This window comes from Homo sapiens, chromosome 2 (assembly GCF_000001405.40).
Source record: "Homo sapiens chromosome 2, GRCh38.p14 Primary Assembly".
NCBI lineage: Eukaryota > Metazoa > Chordata > Mammalia > Primates > Hominidae > Homo > Homo sapiens.
In genome coordinates this window covers 81,796,513-81,811,833 of record NC_000002.12, presented here as the reverse complement: position 1 = coordinate 81,811,833, position 15,321 = coordinate 81,796,513, and the positions used below count along the sequence as shown (strand labels likewise).

Sequence of the window (15,321 nt, the reverse complement as noted above, 5' to 3'; positions counted from 1 at the left end):
CGTCAGGCCCCACCTCTAGCATTTGGAATCACATTTCAACATGAGATTTGGAGGACACAAATATCTAAATCATATCACACACCATACTACTCCGAATCTGTATTTTAACCAAATCCCCAAGTGATTAATATGTACATTAAAATTTGATAACCATTCTTTTATACTTCTCATTCTAAGCAGTGACATTACTAATGAACATTGCATAAATGCACTCAACCACACAAAACAAGATACAAGAAAACTAGGTACTTTTATTCCAAGATTCAAGGCTGATTTTCTAAATGTTGGCTTAGAGGTGCTACTCTCAGATCAGAGGCCAGTGCATTCCTGAAGAAGCATGATGACTGAATGTAGAGTGGGATTTCTCTCACTAATAGCTAGAAAGTGTTCGTCTCACTCAGTGGGCTAAAGAGAATCACCAGGTATGAGAGGTTGTCACAGAGAAACTTAAAAAGCCATTTTCTTAACCTTCTTGTTTTGGACTAAAGTGAATTGAGTTACTTGCCTGGGGCATCAAGTTAAAAGGAGGTGTGGAAAACTGAGATCAAGATATATAATATTTTAATGTAGCAACTTGTCCTCACTTGAATCACCCTAATCTTGGCCCTGACTGAGATGCTGACATGTCTAAAATCTCATTTATGGAAAGATCTAAAGATAAAACTTCCACAAATGTGGACATTCTTACTGACCTATGCATTGGTGTTACTATTAAAAAAAAAAAAAAACTTAAGTACAATAATAAACCCTGCTGTCAAAATTCTCCATTTTTTTTGCTAGTGAAAATCTAATAAACATTCTCTATATAATGCTTTTGAATCTTTATGGAATAGTAGACATTGGATTTAAAAATATATTATTTAATGATTTAGCAAAGAAACCCTTTTAGATACCAGGTTTACTGCACTGCTAATGTTTTTAGTATAAGAAGTAAATCTTCTTTTAAAAAATTTTCCTAAAGATCTTTGTTCTTGTTTTAATTCTCTAGAGTAGAAATACAGGTGAGATCAAGCCTGAGTGTTTCTAGAAATCTAAGAAAGCAGTATTTAGAAGTGAAATTTAGGGTAGAGTTTACTGTTACATGGTTGAGTGGTGAGTCCCCAGCCAATAGAGCCACAGGACTTTGATAAAACAGGTGATTGTCAAGAAGAGGCTTATTTATTTCACCAGTAGTGAGCATGCCATAAATAACCACACACATGAGGGGTAGAAGAAGCAAATACTATTGCTGCATGTCTTGGTCAATGATAGATCCAGGAGAATTTGTGAAGTTTTGTGGAACAGTCAATACTATGATATCATTGTAGAAGTCGGTGTACACTATGCTTAATTCAACTGCTATCTGAAGTAGATCCTGGGATGCTGAGTGTATTAGTCTCTTTTCATGCTGCTGAAAAAGACACACCCAAAACTGCGAACAAAAAGAGATCTAATTGGACTTACAGTTCCACATGGCTGGGGAGGCCTCAGAATCATGGTGGGAGGCAAAAGGCACTTCTTACTTGGTGGAGGCAAGACAAAATGAGCAGGAAGCAAAAGTGGTTTAAACCCCTGATAAAACCCATCAGATCTCGTCAGACTTATTTACTATCACGAGAATACCACAGGAAAGACCAGCCCCCATGATTCTGATTCAATTACCTTCCCCTAGGTCACTCCTACAACATGTGGGAATTCTGGGAGATATACTTCAAGTTGAGATTTGAATGGGGATACAGGCAAACCATATTAGTGAGGCAAAATTTTAGTTAGGTACATATATTGACTCGTTTATCCTTATTTCCAGAAGGCATACATGTTTCATCAGTAGGCATGATGTGGATCAGAATGTAGGTTGACTTAACATCACTGCATATATAGTCTTTCGGATTGACCAATATTGTAATTCTTATTAGACTCCCTCATTTTTCAATGACCCACCCCTTTCTTCATGGACAAAATCTTGCCTATTGTCTGGTATACTGACACTTCACTGCGAGGTCTTAAAACATCTTTCCAACCTTATCTTCTGTTGCGGGAAGTCAGGGATCCTGAACGGAGAGACCAGCTGGAGCCGAGGCAGAACATAAATTGTGAAGTTTTCATGGACGTTTATCAGTTACCAAAATTAATACTTTTAAAATTTCTTACACCTGCCTTTACTGCAATCTCTGAACATAAATTGTGAAGAGTTCATGGACATTTATCACTTCCCCAATCAATACTCTTAAAATTTCTTATGCCTGTCTTTAATCTCTTAATCCTGTTATCTTCGTAAGCCGAGAATGTACGTCACCTCAGGACCACTATTGTATAAATTGATTGTAAAATATGTGTTTGAACAATATGAAACTAGTGCACCCTGAGAAAGAACAGAATAACAGCAATTTTTAGGGAATAAGGGAAGATAACCATAAGGTCTGAATGCCTGCAGGGTTGGGCAGAATAGATCCATATTTTTCTTCTCACAGAAAGCCTATAGACAGATGTGTGAGTAGGAGAAATATTGCTGAATTCTTTTCCCAGCAAGGAATATTAATAATTGATAACCCTGGAGAAGGAATGTATTCCTGGGGGTAGGTCTTTAGATGGCTGCTCTGGGAGTGTCTGTCTTATGCGGTTGAGATAAGGACTGAAATACGCCCTGGTCTCCTTCAGTACCCTCAGGTTTACTAGGATTGGGAAATTCCAGCCTGGTAAATTCTAGTCAGACTGGTTGTCTGCTCTCGAACCCTGTTTCCTGTTAAGATGTTTATCAAGACAATGCATGCACAGTGGGACATGGACCCTCATCAATGATTCTAATTTTGCCTTGCCTTGTGATCTTTATTGCCCTTTGAAGCATGTGAACCCTATTCGTACACCCCCTCCCCTTTTAAAATCCCTAATAAAAACTTGCCGGTTTTGCAGCTTGAGGTTGCCATCACTGTCCTACCAATATGTGATGACACCCCCAGAGGCCTAGCTATAAAATTTCTCTCTTTCTACTCTTTCTCTTTATTTCTCAGACCGACAAACACTTAGGGAAAATAGAACCTACGTTGAAATACTGGGGGCTTGTTCCCCTGATAACCTTCCATTATTTCCCAGTCTAAAATCTTCACACGCATTAATCAACTCATTGACTCCGCAGAATCCAATGTTTGTGTTTTCATAACAAAATTGCTCTTTCACAATATTCTATACTTATTTCTGAAATCTTGGTCTGACCAAGGCTTTTCCTCTTCCAGCTACAATTTTCTGACCATCCAAATACGAGGTGGTCTCATTCTCCTTTCGTTTCTTATATATGAGCATTCACATAAGTAATAAGAATTTATTACCTTTTCAATAATGACATATTTTACTGTAATTTTGCTATTTTTTCCCAGTAAGCATGCTGTATGCTTTCTCAACTGAAATGCAACACTTTCAAAGTTAGTCACATAGCCATCTTTCTTTATAATCTCCAAAATACATATTGGGCTACAGCAGCACTAGGCTTTTCTCAGATCTTCAGCTCACAGAAATAAACCTCCATCCATCTAATATACTCATTTTCCCTTCCCCTGCTATAAACCCGTAAAAACTGAAGTCCTTCCTGATGCCTTTCTCCTCCTTACATTCTACATAGAATTTAGGTTTAGAATTTATTAATTAGATATTTCACTAAATATCTTCAAATGTCTTTCTTTCTATTCCCATTATCAGTATACTTAACCAACCATTACCACTGTTTCCAGGGACTATTCTAATAGCTTAGAAATCAGTATTTTCCCAACCTATTATGCACACTACAGACAAAATGGGCATTTAAAAAACTTATCATTTGTTTGTGTCTTCTCTGATTTCTTTGAGCAATGTTTTGTAATTCTCATTATAGAGCTCTTTCACCTTCCTATATTCCTATGAAGCTGTATTCCTTGGAAGAATCAGTATTATTAAAATGTCTATACTACCCAAAGAAATGTACAGATTCAATACTATGCCTATCAAACTATCAATGATATTTTTCACAGAACTTGAAAAAATTATTTTAAAATTTATATGGAACCAAAAAAGCCTGAATAGCCAAGGCAATCCTAAGCAAAAAGAACAAAGCTGTAGGAATCACGTTACCCAACTTTATACTACGAGGCTACAGTGACCGAAACAGCATGATATTGATACAAAAACAGACACATAGACCAATGGAACAGAATATAGAGCCAGAAATAAGGCCACACACCTACAACCATCTGATCTTTGCCAAAGCTGCTAAAAACAAGCAATGGGGAAAAAACTCCTTATTCAATAAATGGTACTGAGATAACTGGCTAGCCATATGCAGAAGATTGAGGCTGGACTGTTTCCTTACACAATATACAAAAATCAACTCAAGATGGATTAAAGACTTACATGCAAAACCCAAAACTATAAAAACCCTGAAAGACAACCTAGGCAATACCATCCTGGACATAGGAAGAGGCAAAGATTTCATGACAAAGAAACCAAAAGCAATCACAACAAAAGTAACATTGACAAATGAAATCTAATTAAACTTGATAATTTCTTCTGCTGGGCAGCTCTTAACAGAGTAAACAGACAACCCGTAGAATGGGAAAAATTACTAAGAAACTATGCATCTGACAAAGATCTAATATTCAGCATCTATAAGGAACTTAAATTTATAGGAGAAAAACAAAAAGTGGGCAAAGGACATGAGCAGACACTTCTCAAAAAATGACATACATGCAGCCAACAAATATGTGGGGAAAAAGTTCAATATCACTGATCGTTAGAGAAATGGAAATCAAAACCACAATCAGATACCACCTCACACCAGTCAGAATGACCATTATTATGAAAAAAGACCCATGTCCACCATTGGTGGGAGTGTAAATTAGTTCAGCCATTTGTGGAAAGCAGTATCATAATTTCTCAAAGAACTACAAGCAGGTATACCATTTGACCCAGCAATCCCATCACTGGGTATATGCCCAGAGGAATATAAGCCATTCTACCATAAAGACACATGCATGCAAATGTTCACTGCAGCACTGTTCACAATAGCAAAAACATGGAATAAACCTAAATGCCCATCAATGAAAAATTGGATAAAGAAAATGTGGTTCATATACCCCATGAAGTATTATGTAATCATAAAGAACAAGATCATGTCTTTGCAGGAATGTGAATTGAGCTGGAGACTATCATCCCTAGTAAACTAATGCAGGAAGAGGAAACCAGATACCACATATTCTGACTTATAAGTGGAAGCTAAGAACTTGTGAACACAAAGAAGGAAACAGACACTGGGGTCTACTTGAGATAGGAGGGTGGGAGGAGGGAGAGGAGCAGAAAAGATAACTACTGAGTACTGGGCTTAATACTTGGGTGATGTGATAATATGTACAACAAACCGTCACATGTACCCACAAACATAAAATATTAAACTTATCAGAGCAACTAAATAATATAAAGCAAATATTAACAGAACTGAAAGGAACAATAAATAGCAATACAATAATAGTAGAGAATTTCAGTACTCCCACTTTAAACAATGGATAGATTATTCAGGGAGAAAATCGGTAAAGAAACAGCAGATTTAAACAGCCTGTACCAAATGGACCTACTGGATACATACAGAATGTTCTCCTCAACAGCAGCAGAATACACATTCTTTTCAAGTGCACACAGTAAAAAATTAAAAGGAAAAACAAAAAAGTATCCATAAATAAAAACAAAAACCTACCAAATCAAAGTGCACACATAACATTCTCCAGGATATATCATATGTGAAGCCAATAAACAAGTCTTAACACATTTAAGAAAATTAAAATAATATTGAATACAGTTTCTGACCACAATGGTATATGAAACTAGAAATTAATAAGAGGAAAACTGGAAAATTCTCAAATAGGTGGAAATTAAACAATACACTTCTGAACAACCAGTGGGTCAAACAAGAAATTAAGAAAAATAAAATGTTGAGACATAAAAATAAAAATATGACATATCAAAATGTATTGGATGCAGCAAAAGCAGCTCTGAGAGAAGTGTATAGTAACAAATGCATAAATTAAGAAAAAAAGAATGATCTCAAATAAGCAACCTAACTTTATAGAATAAAAAACTAGAGAACAAAACAAGCAAAATTCAGTAGAATAAATCCAATAATAAAGATCAGAGCAGAAATTTAAAAAAAACAGACTAGAAAAACAATAGAAAACATCACAGAAACTGAGGCCTTTATTGATAAACTTTTAGACTAAGAAAAGACTAAAACAAAATTATAAATGAAAGACTTTACAATTGACAACAAAAATCCAAGAGATCATGAGATACAAGGAACAATTATATACCAACCAATTAAGTGACCAAGAATAAATGGAAACATTCATATTAATAGAAGCATGCAACTTAACAAGCCAAAATTACGAATAGTAAATGTGAATGAAACAATAACTAGTAAGGACATTGAATCAGAAAGCAAAAACTTCACAACAAAGAAAAGCCCAGGACCTGATCGCTTCACTGGCAAATTAAATATTTAAAGAATAATTAGCACCAATTCTTCTCAAACTTCTCAAAAAGCCTGAAAAGGAGGGAAAATTCCCAATTCTTTTTACAAGGCCAATGTTTCCCTGATACAAAAGCCTAACAAGGACACCACAAGAAAATTAAATTACAGGCCAATATCCCTGATGATCATAGATGCAAAAATCCTCCAAAAAATTCAGCAAATTGAATTCAGCCACAAGTAAAGAGACTTGTACAATATGGTCAAGTGGGATTTATGCCTAGAAGACAAGGATGGTTCAATAGATGCCAATCAAATATGATATACCACATTAACAAGATGAAAGATAAAGATAATATCTTAATCTTAAGATTAAATATAATTTCCTTAATCTATTAAGATTATCTTAATAGAAACAGAAAAAGCATTTGACAAAATTCAACATTTTTTCATTATTTAAAAAAAACTTTCAACAAATTAGATACAGGTGGAATGTAGCTCAACATAGTGAAAGTCACGTATGACAAACCCACGGCTAACATCATAATCAACAACTAAAAGCCAAAGTCTTTTTTCTTTAAGATCAAGAATAAGACAAGGATACCCGCTCTCGCCACGTTTATTCAATATAGTACTTGAAATACAAGCCAAAACAATGAGGCAAGAAAGAGAAACAAAAGGCATCTAAATTATAAATAAATAAAATTTTCAGTTTGCAGATGACATAATTTTATATACAGAAAATTTTAGATGTCACCAAAACACTATTATACTAATGAACAAATTAAGTAAAATTACAGGGTACAAAATCAACTGCAAAAATTAGTTCCCTTATGTACTAACAATGAACTATCTGAAAAAAAATTTTTTAGAAATCCAATTTACAAAACATCAAAAACAATAAAACCACTTAGGAATGAATTTAAGGGGGTAAAAAAAAGCTGTAAGTGGAAAAATTTAAAAACTGATGAAAAATACTGAAGACACAAATGGAAAGATACTCTGTGTTCATGAATTGGAACACATAATACTGTTAAAACAGCCATACTACCTAATGCAGTCAGTACATTCGGTGCAATCCCTATACAAATTCTAATGGCATGTTTCACAGAAATAGAAAAATATTCTAAAACCTATATTGAACTATACACACATAAAACAAATAGCCAAATCAATGTTGAGAAACACGAACATAGCTTAGGGCATCACATTACATTGTTTCAAAATATACTGAGTTATAGTAATGAAAGCAACATTGTACTGACATAAAAACAAATGTATAGGTCACTGGAACAGAATAGGCAGCCAAGAAGTAAATATACACAGTTATTGTCAATTGATATTTGACAAAGTTGCCAAGGCCTTTGAATGAGGAAAGAAAGAGTCTCTTCAATAAATGGTGTTGGGAAAACTGAGTGTCTATGTATAGAAGAATGACAATGGACACTTAACTGTTACACCTGAAACTGTAGAAGTCGTAGAAGAAAAGGGAAAAGCTTCTTGACATTTGTCTTGGAAATGATTTTTTGAACATGACCTCAAAAGCACAGGCAACAAAAGCAACAATGGACAATGAAATTGTATCAAATTAAATAACTAACTTCTGCACAGCAAACAACAGAGTAAAAAGCCTATGGAATGTGAGAAAATATTTGTAAACCTTACTTCTGATAAGGCATTAATTTCCAAAATAAATAACAAACTCACACATCTCAATGTCAAGAAAACAACCCAATTAAAAATGGGGAAAAGACTTGAACAGATATTTTCCAAAAGAAAACATACAAATGGCCAACAAGTATATGAAAAAATGCTCAACATCACTAATCATCAGGAAAATGCAAATTAAAACCACAATGACATACTGCCTCATACCTATTACAATGGCTATTATAAAAAAGATAAATGATAAAGTCTTGTCAAGGATGTAGAGAGAAGGGAAACTTTGTATGTGGTTGGTGGGAAGGTAAATTAGTACAGCCATTGTAAATAGCGTTGAGGTTCCTTTAAAAATTAAAAATAGAACTACCATATTACCTAGCAATCCTACTCCTGCATACATACCTAAACGAAATAGCCTAAGAATGTTAAACAGATCTCTGTATTCCCATGTTCACTGCAACATTATAACAGCTAAGATGTATAATCAGCTTAAGTGTCCATGAGCAATAGATAAAGGAATTGTGATGTATATATATAACATATTATTATTCAGCCTTACAGAAAATCCAGTCCTATGTGACCTCATGGCTGAACCTTGAGGATGTTATGCTAAGTAGAATAAGCCAGACACAGACAAATGCTATATTACCTCACTTAAATGTGGAATCCAGACAAGCACAGAGTAGGGGCTGGGGGAAGGGAATGAGGAGTGATTAGCCAAAGGATATAAAGTTTTAGGTAGAATGAATAAGCTCTGGCGATCTATTTGTGCAGCGTGGTTACTATAGTTAGTAATAGTAAATTATATTCTCAATTACTGAGGAAATGCTAAATGTTCTCACCACAAAAAAATAAGAGGTGATGGGTAAGTTAATTAGCTTGATTAAATCATTTTACAATGTATACATATATCAAAACATCATATGGTACACTGTAAATATATATACTTCTTGCTTGTCAGTTATACCCCAATTGGATTAGTCATTATAGAGTTTTAGTTTTGCAAGAGGCAAATGTTCAGCAGAGTTGCTGCACAATAATGTGAAAGTACTTAACATTACTGAATTATACACTTCAAAATAATTAAGATGGTACATTTCATTTTGTGTTTTTCCAAAATTGCTTATTTGATTGTTATATCTGTATTTTAAAATAAGAAATGGTGACTATTTCTTCTTCCAATGAAAATATAAAGTATCTACATTTCCTGGTACAACAGACATAGAGTTATCTATGTGTTTCTTTAGCATTACCTTCTGATACTCTCTATCAAATGCTTTGTGTTCTAGATTTACTAGCTCTCATTAAGCTTCCTGAATGAGTCAATATCCTTCCAACCTTAGGGATTTTAAATATTTTATTCTCGTCACCTATAATACTTCCCATGAGCAATCTCATTTACCTTTTTGGCTAGATCCTATTAATTTATGATAGGTCAGGTTAAAATTAACATCCTCAGGCAAGCTTTGGCATCTCTGAGAACAAGGCAGGAACATATATAGTTGATTGGCATGTATTACTTCTTTTTCTGTGTATATGAGTGTGTGTATGTGTAAGAACACCATAACAGCTGGAGCCCTTCAAGCTCTGTCTTTGCTGACTGGTTAACAGAACCAACACTTTCATTCGTAGTCATTATGAAATATGAATGTGTACATTTCTGATACTAACATTAGGGGTGAACTCATGAACCAAAATAGAATCATCAGAACATTTTAACCTCCTAGCCATAGTCTGATTAAAGAATGAGCAAGTGACTCAATATAGAAAAGTAGTAATTAGAAAATCCCTTGTGATACTTTCTGGAATGATCATGAGAGAAGTCAACTGAGATTATGAATTATGTGTTAAACATAAACCTGGAAGGTAACAAATGCTATGGCCATTTTGTCTGTGTGTTGTAGAGGAAGAAGAGCAGGAATATAGAGAAAATAAGGTAAACTTTGGAGAGTATTATTTTACTGGATCTCACCATAGCTGAAAGCAAAGGTTAACTGTACATTTTCTAGAGAAGTGAGTGAATAAATGATTTTCTACCCTTTTCCTTAATTTTAAATAGTTAAATTTCTTTAACTTTTTATCGAAGTAATCATAATATACTATTTTGGTGTCCCGAGTATGTAACCAAGTGCTGAGCACCTAGAATCTATTCAATCTATGCTGTTAACTGAGTAAATGAATAAATGCGTGAATCAAAAGATTTATGGTATCTATAGCTATGATTTAACAGAACTTGTTATTCTGATCATATATATGGAATAACTTTCAAAACAGTGATTACAGTAACTTTAATATCATGTCCCATTGATTACATTCTGCTCTTGGCTTAAAAAACACAATAAGGTCACAGTTGGAGATGGAGACTAACAGAAGGTTCAAGACCTAAAATAACAGGTTAAAATAAGAAATAAAAATCTTCAGTGTGGATTTTCTAGATAGTATTAAGGTATACAGAGTATTGATCAGTGAATAGTTCCCACATGCTGTAATTTGAAAATATTGATATATTCTATCTTATATAGCCTTTTATATCAAGTGGATAAAGGAGTTTCAGCAAGTATGATTTCTTTAGTGAACTTAATATTATAGTCCAATACTGCTATGTAGGTGCCATCTATTGAAACTTCATAATGCTTAATGGCTTACGTTAAAAAGAAGTTTGTGTGGATGATAGAATTACATGAAGAATAGCATGCTAAAAGATGCCTAAATTTATCACACTCTGAAGCAAATGAGAAAAATATTGGCAGGTGTAAATATGAGAGGGGAAATGGGTGGATTTCTCGTGCATGGAATCAGAATTTCTAATAGCTTCTCATTCCCCAGGGTTCTTAATACTAGCAAAGTGCAGAGCAACCTCAAGGATCAATAAAATTGCAAGTCAATGAAATTTTTTCTGTTAAGGGGAGCAGAAGACAATCTACTTCAAATGTTTGTTTTATAATTGATAGAATCTGTAGGTAGAAAAGCTAAAATCACATATTTTTCTATTGATCTATTTCTATTCAAGTAAAAACATTCCATTGCAGATAGAACTATGAAGAATCTTTTATCACAAAAGCTAATAAATTTCCTCTGTAAACTGACTAACAAAGGCAAAATAGTAGGGAAGCAAATCTCCAAGTAAATCTCAATTTATCTATCCTTTTCAAGAATCTGGAGGTTGCAGAGTAGCAAGCATTTAAAAAAATATATTATTCTGATCTATTTTCTGAGGCCAAGAATATTGAAGAGTTTGACAGGAAAATACCTTAAGCTCTTCCCTACTCCCCCAAATGCACTTTTACATTGGTTCTACATGTGCCTGTTAGTGCATAGTTTTGATAGAATTTCAGGGTCCCTGAACAAATAAACTGGTCCACACAGAGTTCAAAGCTGTGAGTTTAGCTCAGAAACCCTCATGGCAACAAATGTAATCAGCTGGTTTCAAATGAAGCTGAATCCCCAATATTATCATTCTAGCTAGGTGTCTCTATGTGATTGCTAGAATATCAATCCAATTCTTTCTTGTTCTTTAGAAAAATGTTCTTTATTGTGTTAGGGATAAAGCTGAATAGATTTTGAAGCCCTGTATAATTAGACTCTGGTTCAACCATTAAATACCAAATGTACTTTCTTAGCCAAGTTACTCTGAAGTTTAGTTTTCTCACATGTAAGATGGATGTACTAATCATTCCCACATTTAAATTTCTATTAGACCACGGTAAAGAATGAACTAGTAAACTGAAAGATCTGTAGAAGTTATTCAGAAAGCAGTAAAACATGATGGGATTAAAGGGAGATTGAATAAATATCTTTTGAATATTAATAGATCAAGAAGGAAAAAATAAATGAAGTTTAAAGGTGCTATGGAAGATTTAAACAACAAAATTAACATGGGATGTTGATCTTCATAAATGGGCGATATACATTCTTTTTTTTACAACACAGACTATAAAAATTGATCACAAGCTAAACCACAAAGCAGCAAAAAAATACACTTTAAGTCTTATCTTACCAGATCATATTCATTGTTTGTTATAAAATTAAATTAGAAATAACAGAGAGAGAGAATAAAACTCTCATGTTTAAGAATTAGTAAGAATTCTAAACAACTTGGGGGTCAAAGATAAAATTTTACATACACATATATTTTTAAATATATATTCTATTAATGCAGTCTATTATATTGATCAATTTGCATATGTTAAATTATATTGCTGAATTTGTTAGTATATTGCTGAGAAATTTTGCATTAATGTTTATAAGATATCTTGGCCTATAATTTTATTAGCATCCTTGTCTTAGATCAGAGTAATGTTGGCCTGATAGAGTAAATCGGGAAATATTTCCTGTTCTTCAGTTTTCCAGAAAACTTAAAGATTGGTGTTCTTCTTTAACTGTTTAGCTTAATTCAACAAAGAAATAAGTTCACCAAAAAGCCCAGGTTTAGGGCTTTCTTTTCTTTTTCTTGGTCAGCAGATGTTGGATTATGAATTCAATCTCCTTAATAGTTACAGATTTATTTAGATTTTCTATTTTTTCATGACTTACTCCTACTAGATTTTGTGTTTCTAGAAATGTGTTCATTTTATCTAGATTATCCAATTGTTGCTATGTAATTATCCAGAGTCCTATTTTCTTTAGAAACAGGAGTAACATACCCATTTTCAATTCTGATTTTAGCAATTTGAGTCTTTTCTTTTTTTTAGTGCTAGACTAATGTTTCATTCATTTTGTTCATCTTTTCAAAGAAATAACTTTTGGGTTTTTTGATTTTTCTCTATTTTTCCTCTTCTGTTTATTTTGTAGTGACATGTTTAAATTTCTTACTTCCTGTTGTATATATACATGTTACCATGTGGATTACATTTAATATTCTAAAGCTATAATATTCTATATTAACTTTGTATCAATTTAACATGAATAACATGCAAAAACTTTGCAGCTTTGTACTCACCTCTTTTAGTCACTTATGTGATAGAACTACACTGGTATACACTGCATGCCCCCAAAGAAACGAATAATTCTTTTAAATGTATTAGTCTTAAATTATATTTTAAAAAACACAAAATGTGGAGTTACAAACTAAAGCTATAACAAAACTAGCTTTTAAAATTATTTTTAATGTATTAATTAAATTATGTAGAAATCAAAAAGTGAAAGTACAAACCATTACAATAACACTAGTTTTATAATCGCTCATGTTCTTACCTTTGTTGACATCTTTATTTCTTTATATGGCTTCAAATTACTGTCTAGTGTTATTTCATTTTGTAGAAGTCCCTTGAAACTTTTCTGTAGAGTAGGTCTAGTGGTAATAAATTCCCAAAGCTTTGTTCATCTAAAAATGTTTTAATTTCTTACATTTGAAGGACAGATTTTCTATAGGATTCTTGGTTGACAGCATTTTTTGTGGCTATTTTGTTTTGTTTTGTTTTTGTGGGTTTTTTTGTTTTGTTTTTGCTTTTTCTTTCAGCACTTGGGAGATTTTCAAGGTCCAATGCCTTCTGGCCTTCAAAATGTCTCATGAGAAATCTGATAATGGTATTGCTGATCTCTTGTATGTAAGTCAGTTATCTTGCTGCTTTTAAGATCTTCTTTTTGTCTTTATCTTTCAAAAGATTGATTATAAAGTGTCTTAGTGTGGGTCTCTTTGATTTCATTTTGATGTGTTTTGAATTTTTTTAATGTTCGTACTTGTATCTTTTTCATTTAAGAGGTTTTTAGCCACTATTTCTTTGAGTATTTTATTCCATTTTCTTTTTCTTCTTCTTCGGGGATTCCCACAATGCACATGGTGGTCTGTTTGCTGTGTCCCACAGAATCTGTTCCCTCTTCTTCCAAGACTCAATTTCCATTGTCTTATCTTCAAGTGCACTGATTTTTCTCCCTGCTCAAATATGGTTTGGAATCTCCATGACATAAGAAAATATGAAAGTTGTGTTAAGAGAAGAGAGTAATTGTGGGGGAAAAAAAAAAGAAAATCAATGATTTTCTTAGATAAGAAAGGGAGCATTTTGCCCTACTTGGACCTAAGATTGAAATTGTTTACCATACTCAATTTGTACAAGCCTGACAATATATTAGATGATTGCTGGCCAGGAGTAGAGGCCCATGCCTATAATCCCAGCTCTTTGTGAGACTGAGGTAGGAGGATTGCTTGAGGACAGGAGTTCAAGTATAGCCTGGGCAAGATTGCAAGGCCTTGCCACCCCATCCCCCACCCCAAAAAAAAGGATAATTACTTAGACTAACATAGTATTACATAGAATAGTATGAGTCATACAGGAAAAGTGTCAGGTGCAAACAAAAGTAGAATTGCCAGCATTCTATAGTGTATCTTTACTGCTTTAATAGTTGCCTTTATGTGTTAGACACATCATCATCTACACTAGTATGTCTTCTGATATGAAAAGCCAAAAATGGAGTAAATGAATAAACAAATGGAGTGATATCTCAACTTCGGCCCTTACTATGTTCCATAGAAAGTTTTTGGGAGGAAACTATGGGGTTGCTACATCTGTCTTTAGTACTGCTATACCTACCTCTGTGCAAAAAACCACAAACACACACAAAACCCAAAATAAAAACATGGCTTTTGATCCATTAAGGCCTGGGCCTATGCTCTGTCTCCACTGGCATCATTACTACCTATGCGAGTTTAATAAATTATTTTCAGCCTATCTAGTCTCAGTTTCCTCACACAAATAATGAAGTATCTTAGTCAGCTTAGCTGTTATAATGAAATACTATAGATGGAGAATGGGGTAGCTTAAACAACATAAATTTCTTTTTACTCTGAAGATTGGGATGCAAGAATGGTCAGGTTCTGGTGAAGGCCCTCTTAGTGAGTGGCTGATTGCCTTTTTGCTGTATCCTGACATAGCCAAAAAAAAAAAAAAAATGCTGGGGGGGGAGTGAGCAAGACAAAATATCCTCTCTTTTCTCTTCTTATAAGGACACTAATGCCAACCTGAAGACCTCACCCTCATGATCTCATCTTAATGTAAGTACTTCCTTAAAGCCCTATTTCCTAATAGTGTTACATTAGGGGCTAAGGCTTTTATATTAGTCCATTTTCACACTGCTGATAGAGAAATACCCAAGACTAGGCAATTTACAAAAGAAGGAGGTTTATTGGACTTACAGTTCCACATGGCTGGGGAGGCCTCTCAATCATGGCATAAGGCAAGGAGAAGCAAGTTATGTCATACATG

General features: G+C 33.8%; 1 long non-coding RNA gene across 14 annotated transcripts in view; it reads right to left on the bottom strand.

Moving 5' to 3' along the window:
* Positions 1 to 15,321, bottom strand: part of LOC102724542 (uncharacterized) — a 368,996-nt gene that overhangs the window by 38,900 nt on the left and 314,775 nt on the right. For 3 of the 14 annotated variants that reach the window (NR_187693.1, NR_187695.1, NR_187700.1), the window contains one exon: positions 13,316 to 14,016. The exons of the other annotated variants lie outside the window; for them this stretch is intronic. This is a non-coding gene — a long non-coding RNA (uncharacterized LOC102724542). The remainder of the gene's footprint in view (positions 1 to 13,315; positions 14,017 to 15,321) is intronic. 14 annotated transcript variants of the gene reach the window in all.